Raw genomic sequence first — 26,099 nt, forward strand, 5'->3', positions numbered from 1 at the left:
ACACAGCTCATTCTGCTGAAGTTTCATAACAGATTTCCAGTTGGGTTCTTAGAAAAACTTTCTCTCTTAACTTCAGCCACTTAGGGAAATTGATTTGTGGGGTTCTGCCCCACCTCGTGAAAAAGCAGAATTATTTGAATGAAAATATGAACTTGTACTCAGAGTTCTATGGCAGGTGAGGAAGATTTTGTTAAATAACTTGATATTCTATGATTCTTTATAATGATAAAATGCTGCTTTATTAAGAATAAAACCACCTCTTTGTGAGACCACTGATAGAAGTGGGAACTCTTCAGTTCACTTACTGTGATGCACCTACTTATTTTCTGCCCTATCCGCTCCTCCATTCCACTTGTTTTACTTTATCATTTTCCCCAGTATAATAGAAAAGGCATCTAAATTAAAGGACTCTCAGTTTCAAAATAGAGAACTGGGCACATACTGCAAACTCCTTATATCCTCCACCAAAATAATGTATATGTGCATATCCATGCATGTCAAATGTCTACACACTTACACACCCTAAAGTAATGTGTATAATGAGGACACGCATAGCCATGCTGAGAAATTCTAGGCAGACCAGAAACTGTGGCCAATACCCGAGAGACTAAAAGTAGAGACTGGACTTATGAGAAAACAGTGTCTGGAATACACCTGGGATTCGTGTGAGAGTCCACCTGAGGGTCTGCCAAAGTGTGTGGGACCCCAAGCAAGGGAAAGTCAGAGCCAGAGATGATGAGACCTGAACAACGAGAATGCCACAGTGCACATGCAGGGAGACTAGCTGAGTTTCACAGAGAGGGTTTTCAAGTCTGCCACTCACTCTTCTCTCTTGCTTGAACACTTCTAGACCAAATATCATCCTCTCTCCTCAGTTTCCTACTGTTAGGCACACACTGACATTCACAACTCCTCTCCACCAAAGAGCACTCCTCCTCCAAATTGCAGTTCCAGGCCCATCTTCTCCAAGTTTACATGTATAAATCTCTGGCTGGTCAGGATCATCACCAATCCATACCTGCACCTTCCATCTGCCCACTCTTTCTTCATCTCTCCAAGAGTATTACTATCCCCCAATCTTTTCTTTGGGAGAAAATATAATAGATTTTTTAGCTTGTAAACTCTCCTTTAGTATACAATCAATGTCGTCAGCTGTACTATATACCACAAAATACAATACTTACAATAATAATACCATTGTATTAGAATATAATTTTCTAAGCACTTTGTTCTACGATATGTATTATACACACACCACCTTGATTGAGCACCATATAACGTAAGCATTATTATCTCCAGTTCACACATGAGGAAATTGAGGCTCAGAGAGGTGTGCTTTCCCAGATCTTATAGCTCGTCAAAGCTTGTGTGCTTAACGCTACATGAAACTGGTGATTGCACCCTCAAAGCCATTTTTCAGAATTTTTAAAATTTCATTTTAAAATTCTAATTTTAGAATTTCATATTGTGGTTCTATTTTATCCCATTTTTAGAATTTCCTATTACAGTTTCTATCAATATATATTAAATAGGAGGAAACATTAATGCAAATTATAACTGACAACATGTAACATTTTAAGCATTATTGGTCACCCCAAATATTCTATTTGTTCTCTTTCATGTAGTTACCACTTGGTACCCACTTACTTGTAAGGCTGACCAAATCACATAGATGGGAGGTAAAAAGAGCATCCTGCAGCTTTCACTCCACATGGAGTGTTTTCTTATTTGGGCTCTGCCTTCCTGGCATTAGTAGGTGCTGTTTTCATTCTCTGGTTTCTTCTGGTGGTGACCCCAGTGGGTATTAATCTTTAGAGAGAACCAACCAAACCAAAATTTACTCCAGGAATTTTCTAACAGAGTTAGTGAGAATGACTCTACTAGCATTTTTATCTTATACTTAATATTTTAAAAATCATTGAACATACACTTCCTAACATCCCAAATAAAAATGTCTGCCACCCTATTGAAATGATGACTCATGTGGCCCGTCTCTGTACCACACTGAGTTTGGCAAACACCACTCAATGGTCACTGTCTCTGATTCACCCTGTACATAAAGCTCAGTTCTTTAGATCCTAAGAAACTTTAGGCTGGAAACATCTCTCTGATGCTAAATCCTGTTCATCTGTGAACTTTGTCTAACCATAATGTAAAGTGATTTTCTTCAGTCTCTGACACATTACTTTCCATTTCTGGAAAACAGCCTATAGGTGATTCTAAAATTCAGTCTATCTGGCCATCACCATGTCCCCATGGGACCCAGTTCTGGCATGAGGGATTGGTCAGCCAAGGTCTGAGTTATCCAGATCTGGCTTTGGCTTCCTCTGAGGATTTGCAGAGGTCTAACCGCTTGAGAAACTGGGGATCTGTGGAACTGCAGTAAAACATAATTTTCATTGCACTATGTTGCAAAAGATTCCTTCAGAGTTTCTAAATTTAGTGAAGTTGCATAGCACCATATAAGTTTAGTTCTGCAGCTGGCACATCCACTCCCCATGAGACATCATTTACAACTCAGATTTCAGCACATCCACCAGGACATGTCTGGTGTTATCCCAGCTGCTATTGGAGCTTCTCTCCTTGCCACTATTATTGTAAAGTCTGGTAATAACGTACTCTTGACTCCAGTGACAAAGCAATGGTTTTATTCTAAAATTTCAGCTGAAAGCTGTGCTTTCCGTCCACAATTTTAGACAAATCCTCCAGGTGTAACCCTATTGAAGCTGTCATCTTTATGGTTCCTTCTCTGCACAGCATCATAAATTTAGCAAAGTTCATCAGAATGTTAACTGTTTTAAGACTCAACAGAGTCTTAAGAAAGGAGTTGCATGTTCTACTTTCATCTTTCAAAGGATGTAAAGAGGTTCTGATGCATAACCCCCATGAACACATCTTGAATCTCCTTTCCTCTCCTATTCAGCTTTCTCCCACACCCTCTTGTGCTTCTTATTCACCAACTCAAACCCCAAAGGGGGAGAAAAGCCCTCAAATTGATCCACTCCATTCTGGGAAACTTTTGACTTTTCCTATCTCCCTCATTTCTCCCAATCTATAACCTCCTCCTTCAGCATCTCTGGACACATCCTTTTCTGTGCATCTTCCAATTATATGTGACCAAAACACAGGAACTAGTTTGGCAGTAACATAAGGCAGGGGAAAGTCTGGCAAGCAAGATAACATTTTCTCATGTGGGCTGGGGGAAAGAGTCTATTAATACCACATTAATAATTTTATTCCATTATTTGTCTTTTAACTGGTGAAAGATGAAAAATTTAGCTGGTTCATTCCCTCCCTTTTCCATCCTCCCTCTCCACATTTCACAATTTTTCTTTTAAATATCTCAGATATTAATCTATATTATTTTATGTATTTTCTAGTTAGAGAATATTTAAGTCATAAGAGTTTCAAAGCCAAAACAGTTACTTAGACATAAACTTTCAGTGACTTTGTTGCTTAATAATACCTTTTTTTTTTTTTTTTTTTTTTTTGAGACAGAGTCTTGCTCTGCCACTCAGTCTTACTCTGCTACCCAGGCTGGAGTGCAATGGTCCGATCTCAGCTCACTGCAACCTCCACCTCCCGCGTTCAAGCGATTCTCCTGCCTCAGCCTCCAGAGTAGCTGAGATTACATGTGCACGCCACCACCCCCAGCTAATTTTTGTATTTTTAGCAGAGATGGGATTTCACCATGTTGGCCAGGCTGGTCTCGAACTCCTGACCTCAGGTGATCCACCTTCCTCAGCCTCCCAAAGTCCTGGGATTGCATCCGTGAGCCACTGCACCCAGCCACTTCTTTTCTATTATATATTTCATTGTTTATTTTTGGTGCATTTCCTTTTTAACCTAAAAAATTGGGGGAGTAATTTTTTCATGAAAGTATATGAGTGAAGTAGTTAAAAGCTGTGCATGTGTGAAAATTATTTGTGAAGTCTTCTTTGAGTTCAGAAATTATTAAGTCAATAATTTTCCCTCAAAAATCTGCAGCCATTGTTTCCATTTTCTAACTGTTAATATTGTGGAGAAATCAGATGCCTACATGATTTTTCTTCTTGTGTTGATAACATACTTTCCTCAGGATGGATATGAGACTTTTTTTCTTCTTAAAATTTGAAATTCAACAGTGTCAACTATGAGCTAATACTCATTAATTTTACCTCAAATGCGGCGAGCTGCTTTGACCTGATAATCTATCCTCAGTTCAGGGAGCCTGTGTCACTATTTAACTGATTGTTCCTTCTCCTCCATCTGCCTCAGTCTTTTCTTCTGGAATTTCTAACCTGTAATTCCATATTGATTTTCTTTTCATCATTCTTACCCATATTACTCTAAGTTGTGGGAGCATTTCTGGAGCTTGTCTGGATTTGCTGGGGTTTGGGTTTTCTGAAGTATCCAGAATGATGTTCACACCCAAAAAGATGATGGCATCTGTGGCAGACTCTGTCCGTTGATGAACACAACCCCGTTCCAAACTCCTTCACTCTCACCCAACTCCACCAGAGAGGCTTTCCCAACCTCCCTTACAGCTAGTGGTTGTGGCCTCGTGACACCACCCTGATAAGTAAGATGCAAACACACAGAGGTCTCGGTAGGGTAGGGGGTGGTTCTAGAAAACTTGAACTTTCTTGACAAAAGCACATACGTGATTGACACCAACTCTTCCCACTTATTCCTGCTTTTGATGAAGACCTGATGCCTGGAAAGGCAGAAAACATTTTGTGATCAAGACGGAAGGCTAAAAGAATCGCAGAGAGGCTGGCCTTACCATAATGCAGTCAGCATACCAACACAAACAGTTGCCTATACTTCTTGTTATGTTAGATAATTAAAAATCTTTATTTCACTCTTAGGTAGTCTTCTGCTTGCAACTGAAAGCATTCCAACCATTTTAGTGTTTCTCCCTTAAGAAGAGAAAACATAATTCTACATCTTATGAAATCTGATACGCTCTTCTCTTCACTTTGAACCACTGGCTGTGGGGATGATGGGCTCATGGTATCAGTAATAACACAGATTTCACTGGAACTTTCCACAGCAGGGTCATGCAGGACTTTGCTCCCACAAAGTCTCACCTGGTTATATCTCAGATACTCATAGTCGATCCTGTCACCTCTACTACTCTTGTTCCTGGGTTCATGTCCACTACCTGTGAAGCCACAGAGTGTTTCACCATTGCTACAGTATGGGTGCCTTCCATAAGAATACTGATATCCATTCCAAGGAAATTTCTTCTCATCTCCTAAATCTGCCAGCTCTGAAGGTGTTAGATTGTTCTTCACAGAAAAGGGAAAGATAACAGTAGTAACTACAAGTTACTGAGCACTTACTATGATCAAGCTTTAATGATTTACAGGGTACCCTGTTTGTATCCCACATCAATCCTAGTGATATACGTTACTTTCATTTTAAAAAATAGGCTAAGTGACTTGTCCACAATCACAAAGCTAGTCATAAAATCTAAAATCAAATTTAAATTTGACTTCACCACCTCTAGCTTCTTCGCACTGCTGCACTGTTACCCAGGAATTTAAGGAAAATGAAATGTTAAATTGGGAGTTTCCACTGAGGCTCCATCATAAAATACATAAAACTCTAAAGTAAAGTACGAGTTGTGTACTTTGAAAGAAAGTTAGACAACTCTAAGGACACATCAAGGATATAAAAGAATCAAGGCAGTGGAAAGTCAGAGAGGATTCGTAAAAATATTTATTTGGAGAAAGCCACTGAGTGCTGTGAGAACCACCCGTTCCCCAAACGGAAAGGGCAAAAGCCCAACTCTACCTCTTTCACCTCTAGCCTGTAGAGAACTTTCAGTGAGACCAGCAGGGAACCTCCAGAGTGCCATGAGAACAGCCACAGGATGGTCCACTTTCAACATCTGCTGGACCCAGAGAGACTAAGGTCATCTGAAGACCTATTCAATGACACTCTCTCGCCTCTTTTCTGCATTTCCACTCCAAGTTGTAATTCCCTCTGGAGCAGTCAGAAATATGGGTAGCTAGTGGAAAGAGGTAGGGCAATGAAAAAGAAAAAAGTCAACCACACCCTCTTCCAGAGAGGGTAGGGAACTGCCCACTATAGGCTCTAACCGAAGAATTGGAAGGGAACAGAAGTATTTACCTCGGAATGAAGCATTTCCTAATATATTGGACTGAACATTTATTTATTTTTATTGTACTTTAAGTTTTAGGGTACATATGCACAACGTGCAGGTTTGTTACATATGTATACATGTGCCATGTTGGTGTGCTGCACCCATTAACTCATCATTTACATTAGGTATATCCCCTAATGCTATCCCTACCCCCTACCCCCACCCCACAAGAGGCCCCGGTGTGTGATGTTCCCCTTCTGTGTCCAAGTGTTCTCATTGTTCAATTCCCACCTATGAGTGAGAACACGCGGAGTTTGGTTTTTTGTCCTTGCGATAGTTTGCTGAGAATGATGGTTTCCAGCTTCATCCATGTCCCTACAAACGACATGAACTCATCATTTTTTATGGCTGCATAGTATTCCATGGTGTATATGTGCCACATTTTCTTAATCCACTCTATCATTGTTGGACATTTGGGGTGGTTCCAAGTCTTTGCTATTGTGAATAGTGCTGCAGTAAACACATGTGTGCATGTGTCTTTATAGCAGCATGATTTACAATCCTTTGGGTATACACCCAGTAATGGGATGGCTGGGTCAAATGGTATTTCTAGTTCTAGATCCTTGAGGAATCACCACACTGACTTCCACAATGGTTGAACTAGTTTACAGTCCTACCAACAGTGTAAAAGTGTTCCTATCTCTCCACATCCTCTCCAGCACCTGTTGTTTCCTGACTTTTTAATGATCGCCATTCTAACTGGTGTGAGATGGTATCTCATTGTGGTTTTGATTTGAATTTCTCTGATGGCCAGTGATGATGAGCATTTTTTCATGTATCTTTTGGCTGCATAAATGTCTTCTTTTGAGAAGTGTCTGTTCATATCCTTCGCCCACTTGTTGATGGGGTTGTTTGTTTTTTTTCTTGTAAATTTGTTTGAGTTCTTTGTAGATTCTGGATATTAGCCCTTTGTCAGATGAGTAGACTGCAAAAATGTTTTCCCATACTGTAGGTTGCCTGTTGACTCTGATGGTAGTTTCTTTTGCTCTGCAGAAGCTCTTTAGTTTAATTAGATCCCATTTGTCAACTTTGGCTTTTGTTGCCATTGCTTTTGGTGTTTTAGTCATGAAGTCCTTGTCCATGCCTATGTCCTGAATAGTATTGCCTAGGTTTTCTTCTAGGGTTTTTATGGTTTTAGGTCTAATATTTAAGTCTTTAATCCATCTTGAATTAATTTTTGTATAAGGTGTAAGGAAGGGATTCAGTTTCAGCTTTCTACATATGGCTAGCCAGTTTTCCCAGCACCATTTATTAAATAGGGAATCCTTTCCCCATTTCTTGTTTTTGTCAGGTTTGTCAAAGATCAGATGGTTGTAGATGTGTGGCATTATTTCTGAGGGCTCTGTTCTGTTCCATCGGTCTATATCTCTGTTTTGGTACCAGTACCATGCTGTTTTGGTTACTGTAGCCTTGTAGTATAGTTTGAAGTCAGGTAGTGTGATGCCTCCAGCTTTGTTCTTTTGGCTTAGGATTGACTTGGCAATGCAGGTTCTCTTTTGGTTCCATATGAACTTCAAAATAGTTTTTTCCAATTCTGTGAAGAAAGTCATTGGTAGCCTGATGGGGATGACATTGAATCTATAAATTACCTTGGGCAGTATGGCGATTTTCACGATATTGATTCTTCCTACCCATGAGCATGGAATGTTCTTCCATTTGTTTGTATCCTCTTATTTCATTGAGCAGTGATTTGTAGTTCTCCTTGAAGAGGTCCTTCACATCCCTTGTAAGTTGGATTCCTAGGTATTTAATTCTCTTTGAAGCAATTGTGAATGGGAGTTCACTCATGATTTGGCTCTCTGTTTGTCTGTCACTGGTGTATAAGAATGCTTTTGATTTTTGCACATTGATTTTGTATCCTGAGACTTTCCTGAATTTGAGACTGAACATTTTATTAATCACTTACTGAATCACGGCAACTTAGAGTTACCCACTATTAGGTAACAGTAATAGTAATCAGAAAAGCTATGAGCTGCCAAGTTTCATCCAGGGCATGGGAAAACATTTCCTTCATTGCATAATTTTAAGAAACCAACATAGACAAAATAAATTGCATTCAGCTGTGTTATCAGCATATCAAGAAACAACATATTGGTGTCTACATCTCCTTCTGAACCCCTAGGAAAAAAAACCCAGATTTTTCAGCTTTTACCCAGGACTTCATTCCTCTACGGAGTTTAAACAAAGTCTATGGGAACCAAGACAGCCTGCAGCCCTTTCCATACTTCATCTGTAACTCATTCACCCCCTAATAATCCCTCAGTGTATAACCAAAACCTCAAAACCCTCAGGCAATTAATAGATACAGATTGATATTCCATGGGCCTTCTTACCCATTCAGCAAATGCACATGGTCATGTTGTAATCTCTGATGTCTCAGGGTAATATCCCTGCTACACTAGCAGTTAATCCAGTTGTTCACTACAGGGACAGTACCACCCTCTAGGGGAAATTCTGGAAATGTGTGGGGGCAGTCTAATAGTGTAGTTGTGCCCGAGAATTAGACTATTGAAGAATATTATCTTTTCTTCTCTTGTATGTTACAGTGAGGGCATTATATTGACTCTTTGAATTATATCTGTAAGTAGGTTATATTATCAATGACTTTCATCCAGTTTAAAAATATGACATTTAAAAATATCTCTTGCCCAGGCATGGTGGCTCATGGCTGTGATGCTAGCACTTTGGGAGGCCAAGGCAGGAAGATGGCTTGAGCTCAAGAGTTCTAGGCCAGCCTGGGCAACATAGAGAGACCCCTATCTCTACCAAAAAAAAAAAAAAATAGCCGGGTATGGTGGTGTGCACCTGTAGTACCAGCTACTTGGGAGGCTGAGATGGGAGGATTGCTTGAGCCAGGAGATCAAGGCTGCAGTGAGCCATGATCGTGCCATTACACTCCACCCTGGATACAGAGTGAAACTGTTTCAAAAAATATATATATATATACATGTGTATATATATATATGTATATATATACATGTGTGTATATATATGTATATATACGTGTGTGTATATATGTATATATACGTGTGTGTATATGTGTATATATACGTGTGTGTATATGTGTATATATATACGTGTGTGTATATATGTATATATATACGTGTGTGTATATATGTATATATACATGTGTGTGTATATATGTATATATATACATATATATGTCTTATTAAAATGAGAATTAAGCATATGATTAATAACAACCAAATTCACACTACTTTATGTTGTGTACTCAATCTCATTTTCTCTGGTTTGTATATGCATTTTGCAAATTTTTTATTTGGAAAAATTTTACACATTCATAAGTGTCAGAAGAATAATACATTGAACATCTGTTTGCTGTTCCCCTAAATTTGCCAGTTTTAGCATTTCATCTCATTTGTTTTATCTTTATATATATAGATATACATATTTTCTTCTCTCTCTCTCAACCATTTGAGAGTTACTTGCAGACTTTGACACTTCAACCCTAAATACTTCAGCATGTGTCTCCAAAGGAAAAAAGTATTATCTTACATACCTACCTAACCACAATACAATGATCACACTCAGGAAATTTAACACTGATTTTTTTTTTTAAACCTAGTATCTAAGATAAAGTCCATGTTCAAATTTTCCCAACTGTTTCAATAATGTACTTTTTATAGCTTTTTTGTTTTCTTTTTCTTATCTAAGAATTAATCCAAAGTCACACATTGAATTGAGTTGTCATATTTCTTTAGTTTTCCCTAATCGAATCAGTTCACCAGCCCTTTGTGTCTTTTATGTCAATGACATTTTTGAAGAGTAAGGGCTACCTGTTTTACACTATGTCTTACAATGTGCATTGTTTTCTGATGAGTAGATTCCATTTTTTTAAAATTCCAGAATATTATATAGGTGATGTTGTGAGCTTCTCATGTATCACATTCAAAGGCAAAAAAGGATATTTTATCTCATCCTGTTGGAAATGCTAAGTTTGATCATTTTGTTAAGGAAACACCTATCAGATATTTCCCTTGACAAGTTACTGGTTTGTATAGCAATACACCGGTTATGTTTTACAAAAATTGTAAATCCTAGTGATACTCTTCTAGAGAGGGGAACTGAATGCTCAGCACAAAAAGTGCAGGTAATCCCACTCTTATCTGCTTTTTACCTGATGTTATAAAGATTTCAGAAGATCAACCCTTAAGATGTTGCTAGGGCCAGGTGCAGCGGCTTATACCTGTAATCCCAGCACTTTGAGAGGCCCAGGCAGGGGCATCGCTTGAGCCCAGGCGTTTTGAGACCAGCCTGAGCAACACAGCAAGACCTCATATCTACAAAAAAAATTTTTTTTTTAAATATTAGCCAGGTGTGGTTGGCCTGTGCCTGTAGTCCCAGCTACTCAGGAGACAGAGGTGGGAGGATTGCATGATTGTGTTCAATTATCATAATTTAAAAGGCAGAATATTGGTTCTAAAAGGGGAGATGTATAAGTAATTATGGTAGATAAAACTTAAATAAGCACAAATATTTATTCCATGTTTTTCTTTCACTGAATAAACTTGACTATCACAAATTGCATTAAATATAGCCATGTTTATATTAATAAATATGAATGCTTATTAATATAAATGACTGCTTATATTAATAATATGAATGTTTATTAATATAATCATGGCTATATTTTGTATTTATATATGTCTAGCTCCTTTGGGACCCAGGCACATTTTGAGTTCAAGTGCCAGATAAATAAGTAGTGAGGTTTGCTATTCATATCTTATGCCTTACTGGGGGCAGGTCTTTGAATTCAAAGAATACCTCATAATATTAAATTACAGTAAACCCCTTGAGAAAAAATAGTCTTCATCTTCTAATAGCATACCATGGGGCATTCAAATTCCTTCATCTTGATTTGCCAGTGGCCCATTTGGTTTTCATTTAGAGTATTTGAGATGAAATTTAGACCGTAAAGAGTTTAAAATATTAAGGTCTAAAAACATGGGCAGTTTATTTCCTACTTACAAGAAAATTAAGATCCTTTGAGTATTATGAACACCTTGTATAGCTGTATAGGCATTCTCAAAAATTATGCCAGCTAATAATTTAATACATCTCAAGGATGCCTGTTCCACATTCCCTTGAGTTACATTCAAAAGAAAAGCAGATGATTAATTTGTTAAATTCAAGTAAGCAAGAAATTCTAGTAGATATTTGAAAAATTCCTTCTCTTCAGTGAAACTCAAACTGCATATTAAGGAGAATGCATAGATACAATAGCTCAGGGCCAGGCGCGGTGGCTCACGCTTGTAATCCCAGCACTTTGGGAGGCCGAGGCGGGTGGATCACGAGGTCAGGAGATGGAGACCATCCTGGCTAACGCAGTGAAAACCCGTCTCTACTAAAAATACAAAAAATTAGCCGGGCGCGGTAGCAGGCGCCTGTAGTCCCAGCTACTCGGCAGGCTGAGGCAGGAGAATGGCGTGAACCCGGGAGGCGGAGCTTGCAGTGAGCCGAGATAGCGCCACTGCACTCCAGCCTGGGCGAAGGAGCGAGACTCCGCCTCAAAAAAAAAAACAATAGCTCAGACTCAAACCTTGACCTAAATAAGATTTTGTGTCCAGTAAAACTCCACTTACCAATGCAATTTGGAATTCTACCAAATTATCACTATATAAAATCGGGTCTGCTATAAAGAAGCCAAATAGGTAACATTTGTAAAGAGAGAACCAATAGTAACAACCTTGTCTTTGTTGGTCTGTGCACTGGATACACGTTATCTAATGTAATTTCAATAGCTTTCTGAGATCTTACTTGCTATACCTCCACTCTCCACTATCATTAAACTTGACACATCTTCAAGCAAAGTTCTATCATCTTTGTGTACCATTCCCAGAGCCTTGCACTGTGCCTGCCTCATAATACATACACGAGGGCATTTAAATAACGTACATAAAGCCACATAATTATGAATATATTACTACACCACTCCATACTCAATGTTCTTTACGTTATACCACGATGTTTCCAAATAGGACTTCATAGATTAGTGGAAAAATCAAATAAATTAAAGTGAGTTGCGACAATGCTTTCATTTAAAAGCCTAAAATAAATCCAACTCTATTCAGTGGTTGATTTGTATACAGCATCCAGTGGGCAGTCTGACATCGAGTTGAACTAAATGATAGTAATTGTAATGAAATATGATCATTGTGTAAATGATGAACAACACCTTAATATTCAGTACATATAAAAAACTGATAGAAAGGTTGGCATGTCTTACTATCATTAAAATATGTTTTAATGGAGACTTCCAATTTGAAAGGCAAGATTGATGGAAAATATTAACTATGCAATAAATTCTGTAACTGCATATTTCATAGAGATAAATCCTAGATGATGATTCTGAAGTTGACAGATACCAATAAATCATGAAAAAATATCCTTTTTACTAGCAGAGATTATGATATATGAAAGTTACTGCTAAAAGATTCCAGTTTTATCAATTTTTATAAAGATGTTTAAAAGACCAAGAACTTCTAAGAATGTTTAACTCAGGGAAGAGATCAACTTTTTCTTTCCAAAAGCTGACTCTACAGTTTAGTTTAGGTCAATAGTTCATGGATTCTTTCTCAAGCATTATAAACTGGCCCATTTTAATAATACAAAATACAAATGATAAAAGAAAGTAATGTAAGAGATTTCATTTCATTTAATTGCTACTCCTTAAGAAAACCATACGGGCCAGGCACAGTGGCTCATGCCTGTGATCCCAGCACTTTGGGAGGCCAAGGCGGGCAGATCATGAGGTCAGGAGATAGAGACCATCCTGGCTAACTTGGTGAAACTCATCTCTACTAAAAATACAAAAATTAGCCGGGCGTGATGGCACGTGCCTGTAGTCCCAGCTACTCAGGAGGCTGAGGCAGGAGAATCGCTTGAATCCGGGAGGTGGAGGCTGCAGTGAGTGGAGATCAAGCCACTGCACTGCAGCCTGGAGACAGACAAGACTGTCTCAAAAAAAGAAAAAAAAGAAAAAGAAAAGAAAACCATACGAAGAAGCCTGCTCCAATTTCTCCCTACCTGGACAGAGAAAATTTTGCATTTATCAGAGAAAATGCACAGATAAGTATCTCTGAAAAAGTGCTGTAACTCTTTTCTTTTCTTTTTCTTTTCTAGGCAGGGTCTCGGTCTGTTGCCCAGGCTGGAGTACCATGGCGCAACCACAGCTCACTGCAGCCTTGACTTCCTGGGCTTAAGTAGTCCTCCTACCTTGGCCTCCTGAGTAGCCAGGACTACAGGGTGCATCATCAAGCCCAGGTAATTCTTTTTTTCTTTTTTTTGTAGACATGAGATCTCACTATGTTGCCCAGGCTTCTTTTTTATTACTTTAGTAACATTGTTCCTTCATTTTTTTTTTTTTTTTTTTTTTGGAGACAGAGTCTGTCTCTGTCGCCTAGGCTGGAGTGCAGTGGCCCTATCTCAGCTCACCGCAACCTCTGCCTCCCGGGTTTAAGTGATTCTTGTGCCTCAGCCGCCCCAGTAGCAGGGATTACAGGCTCGTGCCACCATGCCTGGCTAATTTTTTTGTATTTTTAGTAGAGACAGGGTTTCACCATGTTGTCCAGGCTGTTCTCCAACTCCTGAGCTTAGACAATCCACCCGCCTCAGCCCCCAAAATGCTGGGATTACAGGTATGAGCCACCACACCCAGCAATTGCTTTTTCATCTTTACATTGGCAAGTCTGTGGAATGTTTGATAAATATTGCAACACTTATTCTGGCCTTTATTTCATTATAACAATGTGACTACAAGACCTTCTAAATGACCTTCTTGAATTTTACATACTTCCTTCCAGATTAATTTCCTAACACACTACTTCAAGTAGACAATATCTTTTAAAAAAAAGTCTGCACTAATGCCACAATATTGATAGGAATAAGCCATAATTACTTAGACTTCTGAGACTTTTAAAAATTTGCCCCAACTATTTCAAGATATTCTTATCTCCTGAAAATCCTTCAAATGACTTTTGTACATACTTTACTTGTTGTTCACTAAACGTGCCTTGTATATAGTCTACCTTTGCACTTTTTCTCACACTGTTTCACCCAACCAGTACATCATACCCAGCAACTCTCTGTCTGGTCTAATCCTATTCATTGACTCATTTGAAGTTCCAATTTTCCAATGAGTGAAGTTTTGAACTACCTCTCATTCCCCTGAGATCCTTTTGACATGGTATGCAAGTTATTTAGCTGTTTTAAAATAGTAAATAAATATTTTAACGTGATTAAGTTTTTCATAGTTGAACTTCCTAAAACTTTAATCTCCTTGAAGATAAAAAGTCCATTTTCTTCACATTTCCACTCTTGCCCACACAGTTTGTTGCTTATAATGGGTACTAAGTAAATATTTGCTAAGTTGACTTTACTCTTAATTAATAAACTATAGCAAATAGAAGTAAGCCCAATTGCAAAGACCAAACCATTAACTTTCTTTCTTAGCTCCAGTATTCACAGAAAACTTTTGCATAAATTTGGTGACTGTCATTTTAAATTGAGATGAATAATCTTTGTGTAAGATATAAGTAATTTCTGGACTCCAAAACTGTATTATTCTCCCATTCTCCCTATGGAACCTAATACATTTGTGTATTTGTTGGTTGTATGAGTGAAATATCCTTTATGACAGCAAATATATCTTATTTATCATTTCATTCTCCAATGCTTCTTTCCATGTAAGAAACAATAATTTCTGCATGAATGAGTAATTTTTTATAGACAAGCCATTAAAACCAAGAGAACACAAAGAATACTACAAAATTGAGGTTTTATAACATTCCAATAAATGTTTCCCTTATGTTTGAAGATGCAAGATTATATTCAGGAGTACAAAAGTATTTGCAAACTATTATCTATATTATATGAGGGGGAAAAGACAGACAAAAAAATACAACCAAATTTTAAACTTTGTTGTTATAGGGAAATGTCCTATAATTGAATGCATAGTGTATGCAAGGCTCATTTCCTAAATTTAATTTACATTACAACTGTATAATTACCATGGCTGTTTTCTAGATAAGAATATCAGGCCCAGAAGAGAAACTTACTCTGGACCACTGAGCTGACTGGCTTAAGTCCTTGCTTGCTGACTCCTCAAATACAGATGCTCCTTGATTTATGATGGGGTTACATCTCAATAAACCCATTGTAATTTTAGTATATCAGTAAGTGGAAAATGAACTTAATACATTGAATTTACCAAACATCATAGCTTAGCCTAGCCTACATTAAATGTGCTCAGAACACTTACATTAGCCAACAGTTGGGCAAAATCATCCAACACAAAGCCTATTTTATTTTTTGTTTGTTGTTTTTGTTGTTTTGAGATGGAGTTTCACTCTTGTCATCCAGGCTGGAGTGCAATGGCACGATCTCAACTCACTGCAACCTCTGTCTCCTGGATTCAAGCAATTCTCCTGCCTCAGCCTCCCCAATAGCAGGGATTACAGGCACGTGCCACCCACGACCAGCTAATTTTTGTATTTTTAGTAGAGATTGGGTTTCACCATGTCGGCCATGCTGGTCTCAAATTCCTCACTTCAGGTGATCTGCCTGTGTCGGCCTCTCTAAGTGCTGGGATTACAGGTGTGAGCCACTGCGCCTGGCCCATAAAGCCTATTTCATAATGAAGTGTTAAACATCTCATGTAATTTATTGATGTCCTACTGAATGCATATTACTTTTATACCATCATAAAGTTGAAAAATTATAAGTCGAACCATTATAAATTGGGGAGTCTATACTTTTCAGTATATCTTAGGTGCCTCTGAGTTTGCTTTGTGAAAAATGTGTATTCTTCCTTAGTGATTATACAGTAAAACATGAGAAACACTGAATAACTTATAAACTACAGAAAGGTATAATATAATCTATAATTCATCACATAGAGATAAACGCTGTTGAAGTTGTGCTGCCTTCCCTTCTGATCTTTCTGATTATATACATAGAGACCAAAATTAGTATTATATTGTACACTGTACATAACTGTATTCTGTATTTTTTCAATTTAAAAAAATTTTTTGATACATTATGTTTGTATATATTTATGGGGTACTTGTGAAATTTTGTTGCATGCATAGAATGTGTGATGATCAAGTCAGGCTCTTTAGGGTATCTGTCACCCAAGTGTTTGTCACTTTTACATGTTGGGTACATTTCAAGTCCTCTCTTTTGGTTGCTTTGAAATATACAATATATTGTTGTTAACTATAGTCACCCTACTCTGCTATTGAACATTAGAACTTATTTCTTCTATCTAACTATATGTTTGTACCCATTAACCAAACTATGTTTGTAGATCACCGTCTACCTCCACGTGATCAACTTTTTAGCTCCCACATGATAATATGCAATATGTCTGTGCCTGCTGATTTCACTTAACATAATATCCTCCCGTTCCATCCATGTTGCTATAAATGATGATTTTATTCTTTTTTATGGTCGAATAGTATTCCATTGTGTATATATACCATATTTTCTTTATCCACTCATTCACTGAGAGACATTTGGGCTGATTCCATATCTTTTCTGTAGTGAATAGTGCTGCAATAAACATGAGACTGCATGTATCCCTTTGACATGCAGTTTATTTTGCTTTAGATAATACCAAGTAGTGGAATTGCTGGGTACATGGTAGTTCTATTTTTAGTTTTTTGAGAAATCTTCATACTGTTTTCCATAGAGGCTGTACTAATCTACATTCCCACCTACAGTGTATAAGATTTCCCATTTCTCAACATCCTCACCAACATTTGTTATTTTTGTCTTTTTAGTAATAGCTATTCTAACTGGGATAAGAGGATATCTCATTGTGGTTTCGATTTGCATTTCCCTGATGATTGGTGATGTTGAGCATTTTTTCACACAACTGTAGGCCACCTGTATGTCTACTTTTGAGATCTGTCTATTCATGTCCTTACCCCATTTTTAATGGGATTATTTGGGTTTTCTTTTCTTTTTCCTGTTGAGTTGTTTGAGTTTCTTGTATATTCTGGATATGAGTCCCCTGTGAAATTAGTAGGCAAATATTCTCTCTTATTCAACAGGCTGTCTCTTCATTCTACTGATTGTTTCTTTTGCTGTGGAGAGCTTTTTAATTTAATATAGTCCCACTTGTCTATTTTTGGTTTTCTTGCCTGTGATTTTGAGATCTTAGCCATAAAATCTTTGTCTAGACCTATGTCCTGAAGAGTTTTTCCTATGTTATTTTCTAGTAGGTTTATAGTTTTGGGTCTTATGTTTAAGCTTTTAAACCATCTTGAGTTGATTTTCATATACAGAGAGAGATAGGGGTCCTGTTTCATTCTTCTACACATGGTTATCCAGTTTTCCCAGCACCATTTTATTATAAAGGGTGTCCTTTCCCCAACGTATGTACTTGATGGCTTTGTCAAAGGTCAGTTGGCTGTAAATGTGTGGATTTATTCCCCGGTTCTCTATTCTGTTTCATTAGTCTATTTGTCTCTTTTTTTATACCAATACAATGCTGTTTTGGTTACTATAGAGCCTTGTAATATATTTTAAAGTCAGGTAGTGTGATCCCTCTAGCTCTGTTCTTTTTGCTCAGGATTTCTTTGGCTATTCTGGCTCTTTTTTAGTTCCATACACATTTTAGGAATTTTAAATTTTTTTTAATTTTTATTTTTTTGTTTTTGTTTGAGATGGCGACTCACTCTGCCGCCCAGCCTGGAGTGCAGTGGTGGGATCTTGGCTCACTGTAACCTCTGCCTCTCAGGTTCCAGTGATTCTCCTGCTTCAGCCTCCCCAGTAGCTGTGATGACAGGCGCCTGCCATGACACCTGGCTAATTTTTGTATTTTTAGTAGAGATGGGGCTTCACCATGTTAGCCAGGCTGATCTTGAACTCCTGACCTCAGGCAATCGACTTGCCTTGGCCTCCCAAAGTGCTGGGACTACAGGGGTGAGCCACTGCACCTGGCCAGGAATTTTTTTATTTTTGTGAAAAATGATGTTGGTATTTTGATAGGGATCACACTGTAGATCACTTTGGGCAGTATGGTCATTTTAACAACAATAATTATTCTGATGCATGAGCATAGGATGTCTTTCCATTTGTTTGTGTCCTCTTCAATTTCTTTCATCAGTGTTTTGTAGTATTCCTTGTAGAGCTCTTTTGCTTCCTTGGATAAATTTATTTCTAGGTATTTTTATTTTTTTGTAGCTATTGTAAATGTGATTGCCTTCTTGATTTCTTTTTCAGCTATGTCATTATTGGTGTTCAGAAACAATACTGATTGATTTTTGTATGTTAATTTTGTATACTGCAACTTTACTTAACTTGTTTTTCAGTTCTAAGATGTTTTAGTGAAGTCTTTTGGTTTTTCTAAATATAAGATTACATCATCTGCAAAGAGTGATAATATGACTTTCTTTTTTCCAATTTGGATGTCTTTTACTTCTTTCTCTTGCCTGATTACTCTGGCTAGGACTTCTATTACTTTGTTGAAGAGGAGTGGTGAAAGTAGGCATCCTGACTTATTCCAGTTCTTAGAGAAAAGGCTTTCAACTTTTCCCCATTCAGTATGATGTTAGCTGTGGGTTTGTCAGGTATGGCCTTTGTGTGTTCAAATTTTTAACGAGAATTTTTTCAAGTAGCTAAGACCTTCAAAATTCAAGTTTTTAATAGCTGTATAGCATTTCAAATTATGAATGTACCCCAATTAATTTAATCAATTTCTTATTGTTACAAAATTTTTAGGTGTTTTCAATACTAAACATTAATGAATAATGAATATTTTTATATACAATTTTTTTTACTATATCTGATTAAGATTTTACTTGGCTAGACCCTAAGAAGTCGAAATAGAGAAGCAAAGGTTATAAATAATTTTAAGACTTTTGATACCTTATGTCAAAAATGCTTTACAAAAGGTTGTACCAAGTTATACTTCCACCAGAAGCTTGTGTATCATGCATTCACCAGCAAGACTGTAATTTTAAAATCTTAAATAAGAAAAAAATGGGATGTCAATGTTTGATGTGTATTTCATAAAATTTTTTTGATGATCAATTACACAGAACTAATTTTATATGTATTAGTCATTTTTACTTCTTCTGTGAAGTATCTGCCTAATTTTTTTTTTTTTTTTTTTTTTTGAGATGGAGTCTCGCTCTATCACCCAGGCTGGAGTGCAGTGGCATGATCTTGGCTCACTGCAAGCTCTACCTCCCAGGTTCACGCCATTCTCCTGCCTCAGCCTCCTGAGTAGCTGGGACTACAGGCACCCACCACCACGCCTGGCTAATTTTTTTGTATTTTTTAGTAGAGACGGGGTTTCACCATGTTAGCCAGGATGGTCTCAATCTCCTGAGCTTGTGATCCGCCTGCCTCAACCTCCCAAAGTGCTGGAATTACAGGCATGAGCCACTGTGCCCAGGCTTTATACATTTTAATGTATGTGTATATGCATATTTATGGATAAATGCATATATGTGAAATTGTGTGTGCATGTATATGAGTGAAAACCACTGTCCTTCCATCACTTTTATACATGGAGGGGGTCTAGGAAAGCCTATCTAGACATAATGTTTTAAATTCAATTGCAATTTATCAGAGTATACAAATGAATATTCAATAATGTGCAAAAAAAAATTTTTTTAAAGCTTATTTGTACACAGAGCAAGGGTAATTGCATTTAGGAACTTGAATAATTTCTCCAAAGAATATTTTTTTGTAGGTAAGCAATTAAAAAACATATATATATAAGATATAACAAGATGACCAAATAGGAACAGCTCCGGTCTGCAGCTCCCAGCGGGATTGACACAGAAGATGGGTGATTTCTGCATTTCCAACCGAGGTACCTGGTTCATCTCTTTGGGACTGGCTGGACAGTGGTTGCAGCCCAAGGAGGGCAAGAGGAAGGAGGGCGGGGTGTCGCCTCACCCAGGAAATGCAAGGGGTAGGGGGAATTCCCTTTCCTACCCAATGGAAGCTGTGACAGACTGTACCTGGAAAAACGGGACACTCCCACCTAAATACTGCACTTTTCCCAAGGTCTTAGCAACAGGCAGACAAAGAGATTCTCTCCCGTGCCTGGCTCAGCGGGTCCCACGCCCACAGAGCCTTGCTCACTGCTAGCGCAGCAGTGTGAGATTGAACTGTAAAGTGGCAGCCTGGCTGGGGGAGGGGCGTCCGACATTGCTGAGGCTTGAGTAGGTAAACAAAGCAGCCAGTAAGCTCAACTAAGCGCAGCCCACTGCAGCTCAGCAAGGCTTACTGCCTCTAGACTCCACCTCTGTGGGCAGGGCTTAACTAAACACAAGGCAGCAGACAACTTCTGCAGACTTAACCTCCCTGGCTGACAGCTCTGAAGACAGCAGTGGTTCTCCCAACATGGCATCTGAGCTCTAAGAACAGACAGACTGCCTCCTCAAGTGGGTCCCTGACCCCTGTGTAGCCTAACTGGGAGTCACCTCCCAGTAGGGGCCAACAGACACCTCATATAGGTGGGTGCCCCTCTGGGACAAAGATTCCAGAGGAAGGATCAAGCAGCAATATTTGCTGTTCTGCAATATATGCTGTTCAGCAGCTTCCGCTGATGATACCCAGGCAAACAGGGTCTCCGGCAAACTCCAACAGAACTGCAGCCGAGGGAAAACTAACAAACAGAAAGGAATAGCATCAACATCAACAAAAAGGACATCTACACAAAACCCCAACTGTAGGTCACCAACATCAAAGACCAAAGGTAGATAAAACCACAAAGATGGGGAGAAACCAGAGCAGAAAAGCTGAAAATTCTAAAAATCAGAACGCCTCTTCTCCTCCAAAGGATCGCAGCTCCTCGCCAGCCAACAGAACAAAGCTGGATGGAGAATGACTTTGCTGAGTTGACAGAAGTAGGCCTCAGAAGGTCGGTAACAACAAACTTCTCCAAGCTAAAGGGAACATGTTTGAACCCATCGCAAGGAAGCTAAAAACCTTGAAAAAATGTTAGACAAATGTCTAACTAGAATAAACAGTGTAGAGAAGAATTTAAATGACCTGATGGAGCTGAAAACCATGGCATGAGAACTTCGTCCCGCATGTACAAGCTTCAGTAGCCAATTCCATCAAGTGGAAGAAAGGGTATCAGTGATTGAAGATCAAATTAATGAAATAAAGCGAGAAGGCAAGGTTAGAGAAAAAAGAGTAAAAAGAAATGAACAAAACCTCCAAGAAACATGGGACTATGTGAAAAGACCAAATCTATGTTTGATTGGCATACCTGAAAGTGATGGGGAGAATGGAACCAAGTTGGAAAACAACTCTTCAGGATATTATCCAGGAGAACTTTCCAACCTAACAAGGCAGGCCAACATTCAAACTCAGGAAACACAGAGAACACCACAAAGATACTCCTCGAGAAGAGAAACCCCAAGACACATAATTGTCAGATTCACCATGGTTGAAATGAAGGAAAAAATGTTAAGTGCAGCCAGAAAGAAAGGTCGGGTTACCCACAAAGGGAAGCCCATCAGGCTAACAGCAGATCTCTTGTCAGAAATGCTACAAACCAGAAGAGAATGGGGGCCAATATTCAATATTCTTAAAGAAAAGAACTTTCAACCCAGAATTTCATATCCAGACAAACTAAGCTTCATAAGTGAAGGAGAAATAAAATCACTTACAGACAAGCAAATGCTGAGAGATTGTGTTACCACCAGGCCTGCCTTACAAGAGCTCCTGAAGGAAGCACTAAACACAGAAAGAAACAACTGGTATCAGCCACTGCAAAAACATGCCAAATTGTAAACACCATTGATGCTATGAAGAAACTGCATCAATTAACAGGCAAAATAACCAGCTAACACCAAAATGACAGGATTAAATTCACACATGACAATATTAACCTTAAATGTAAATGGGTTAAATGCCCCAATTAAAAGACAGACTGGCAAATTGGATAGAGTCAAGACCCATCAGTGTGCTGTATTCAGGAGACCCATCTCACGTGCAGAGACACACATAGGCTCAAAATAAAGGGATGGAGGAAGATCTACCAAGCAAATGCAAAACAAAAAAAAGCAGGGGTTGCAATCCCAGTCTCTGATAAAACAGACTTTAAACCAAGAAAGATCAAAAGAGACAAAGAAGGTCATTACATAATGGTAAAGGGATCAATTCAACAAGAAGAGCTAACTATCCTAAATATATATGCACCCAATACAGGAACACCCAGATTCATAAAGCAAGTCCTTAGAGACCTACACAGAGACTTAGACTCCCACACAATAATAATGGGAGACTTTAACACCCCACTGTCAATATTAGACAGATCAATGAGACAGAAGGTTAACAAGAATATCTAAGACTTGAACTCAGCTCTGCACCAAGCAGATCTAATAGACATCTACAGAACTCTCCACTCCAAATCAACAAAATATACATTCTTCTCAGCACCATGTCGCACTTATTCTAAAATTGACAACATATTTGGAAGTAAAGCACTCCCCAGCAAATATAAAAGAACATAAATCACAACAAACTGTCTCTCAGACCACAGTGCAATCAAACTAGAACTGAGGATTAAGAAACTCATCCAGAATCGCACAACTACATGGAAACTGAACAACGTGGTCCTGAATGGCTACTGGGTAAATAATGAAATGAAGGCAGAAATAAAGATGTTCTTTGAAGCCAATGAGAACAAACACACAATGTACCAGAATCTCTGGGACACAGCTAAAGCAGTGCTTTGAGGGAAATTTATAGCAATAAATGCCCATAAGAGAAAGCAGGAAAGATAAAAAATCAACATCCTAACGTCACAATTAAAAGAACTAGAGAAGCAAGAGCAAACACATTCAAAAGCTAGCAGAAGGCAGGAAATAACTAAGATCAGAGCCGAACTGAAGGAGATAGAGACAAAAAAGGCTCTTCAAAAACTCAATGAATCCAGGAGCTGGTTTTCTGAAAAGCTCAACAAAATTGAAAGACTGCTAGCAAGACTAATAAAGAAGAAAACAGAGAAGAATCAAAGAGACACAATAAAAAATGATAAAGGGGATATCACCACCGATCCCACAGAAATACAAACTACCATCAGAGAATACTATAAATACCTCTACTCAAATAAACTAGAAAATCTAGAAGAAATGGATAAATTCCTGGACACATACACCCTTCCAAGACTAAACTAGGAAGAAGTTGAATCTCTGAATAGACCAATAACAGGTTCTGAAATTGAGGCAATAATTAATAGCCTACCAACCAAAAAAAGTCCAGGACCAGACAGATTCACAGCCAAATTCTACCAGAGGTACAAAGAGGAGCTGGTACCATTCCTTCTGAAACTATTCCAACCAATAGAAAAAGAGGAATCCTCCCTAACTCATTTTATGAGGCCAACATCATCCTGATACCAAAGCCTGGCAGAGACACAAGAAAAAAAGAGAATTTTAGACCAATATCCCTATGAATATCGATGTGAAAATCCTCAATAAAATGCTCGCAAACCAAATCCAGCAGCACATCAAAAAGCTTATCCACCACAATCAGGTCAGGTTCATCCCTGGGATGCAAGGCTGGTTCAACATATGCAAATCAATAAACATAATCCATCAAATAAACAGAACCAACAAAAAAACCCACACGATTATTTCAATAGATGCAGAAAAGACCTTTGACAAAATTCTACAGCCCTTCATGCTAAAAACTCTCAATAAACTAGGTACTGATGAAACATATCTCAAAATAATAAGAACTATTTATGACAAACCCACAGCCAGTATCATACTGAATGGGCAAAAACTGGAAGCATTCCCTTTGAAAACCGGCACAAGACAAGGATGCCCTCTCTCACCACTCCCATTCAACATAGTATTGGAAGTTCTGGCCAGGGCAATCAGGCAAGATAAAGAAATAAATGGTATTCAGTTAGGAAAAAGAGGAAGTCAAATTGTCTCTGTTTATAGATGACAGGATTGTATATTTAGAAAACCCCATCATCTCAGCCCAAAATCTCCTTAAGCTGATAAGCAACTTCAGCAAAGTCTCAGGATACAAAATCAATGTGCAAAAATCACAAGCATTCTTGTATGCCAATAACAGACAGAGTCAAATCATGAGTGAACTCACATTCACAACTAATACAAAGAGAATAATATACCTAGTAATACAACTTACAAGGATGTGAAGGACCTCTTCAAGGAGAACTACGAACCACTGCTCAACAAAATAAAAGAGGACACAGACAAACGGAGAAACATTCCATGCTCATGGACAGGAAGAATCAACATCGTGAAAATGGCCATACTGCCCAAGGTAATTTATAGATTCAGTGCCATCCCCATCAAGCTACCAATGACTTTCTTCGGAGAATTGGAAAAAACTACTTTAAAGTTCATATGGAACCAAAAAAGGGCCTGCATTGCCAAGACAATCCGAAGTAAAAAAAATGAAGCTGGAGGCATCATGTTATCTGACTTCAAACTATACTACAAGGCTACAGTAACCAAAACAGCATGGTACTGGTACCAAAACAGAGATATAGACCAATGGAACAGAACAGAGGCCTCAGAAATAATACCACACATCTACAACCATCTGATCTTTGACAAACCTGACAAAAACAAGCAATGGGGAAGGGATTCCCTATTTAATAAATGGTGCTGGGAAAGCTGGCTAGCCATATGTAGAAAGCTGAAACTGGATCCCTTCCTTACACCTTATACAAAAATTAATTCAACATGGATTAAAGACTTAAATGTTAGACCTAAAACCATAAAAACACTAGAAAAAAACCTAAGCAATACCATTCAGGACATAGGCATGGGCAAGGACTTCATGACTAAAACACCAAAAGCAATGGCAACAAAAGCCAAAATTGACAAATGGGATCTAATTAAACTAAAGAGCTTCTGCACAGCAAAAGAAACCACCATCAGAGTGAACAGGCAACGTACAGAATGGGAGAAAATTTTTGCAATCTACCCATCTGACAAAGGGCTAATATCCAGAATCTACAAAGAACTCAAACAAATTTACAAGAAAAAAAAAAAACCCTGTCACAAAGTGGGCAAAGGATATGAACAGACACTTCTCAAAAGAAGACATTTATGTAGCCAACAGACACATGAAAAAATGCTCATCATCACTGGCCATCAGAGAAATGCAAATCAAAACCACATTGAGATACCATCTCACACCAGTTAGAATGGTGATCATTAAAAAGTCAGGAAACAACAGGTGCTGGAGAGGATGTGGAAAAACAGGAACACTTTTACACTGTTGGTGGGACTGTAAACTAGTTCAACCATTGTGGAAGACAGTGTGGTGATTCCTCAAGGATCTAGAACTAGAAATACCATTTGACCCAGCCATCTCATTACTGGGTATATACCCAAAGGATTATAAATCATGCTGCTATAAAGACACATGCACACGTATGTTTATTGTGGCACTACTCACAAAAGCAAAGACTTGGAACCACCCCAAATGTCCAACAATGATAGAGTGGATTAAGAAAATGTGGCACATATACACCATGGAATACTATGCAGCCATAAAAAAGGATGAGTTCATGTCCTTTGTAGGGACATGGATGAAGCTGGAAACCATCATTCTCAGCAAACTGTCGCAAGGACAAAAAACCAAACACTCATAGGTGGGAATTGAAAAATGAGACAGGAAGGGGAACATCACACACCAGGTCCTGTCGTCGGGTGGGGGGAGTGGGGAGGGATAACATTAGGAGATATACCTAATGTAAATGACGAGTTAATGGGTGCAGCACACCAACATACCACATGTATACATATGTAACAAACCTGTACATTGTGCACATGTACCCTAGAACTTAAAGTATAATAAAAATAAAATTAAAAAAAAGAAAATCAAAAAAATAAATAAAATAACAAATAAATGTATAGTATAGTAAATACTAGGCAATAAAAATTTTCAGCTCCATTAT

The 26,099-nt window shown here is 38.2% G+C and overlaps 1 long non-coding RNA gene across 1 annotated transcript in view; it reads right to left on the bottom strand.

The window, feature by feature from the left end:
• The window catches only part of LOC105369477 (uncharacterized), a 74,968-nt gene extending 50,598 nt beyond the window's left edge, over positions 1-24,370 (bottom strand). Inside the window, exon 1 of the long non-coding RNA XR_001748363.2 lies at positions 1,648-24,370. This is a non-coding gene — a long non-coding RNA (uncharacterized LOC105369477). The remainder of the gene's footprint in view (positions 1-1,647) is intronic.
• Positions 24,371-26,099: the final 1,729 nt, after the last annotated feature.

Source organism: Homo sapiens, chromosome 11 (genome assembly GCF_000001405.40).
Source record: "Homo sapiens chromosome 11, GRCh38.p14 Primary Assembly".
Lineage (NCBI taxonomy): Eukaryota > Metazoa > Chordata > Mammalia > Primates > Hominidae > Homo > Homo sapiens.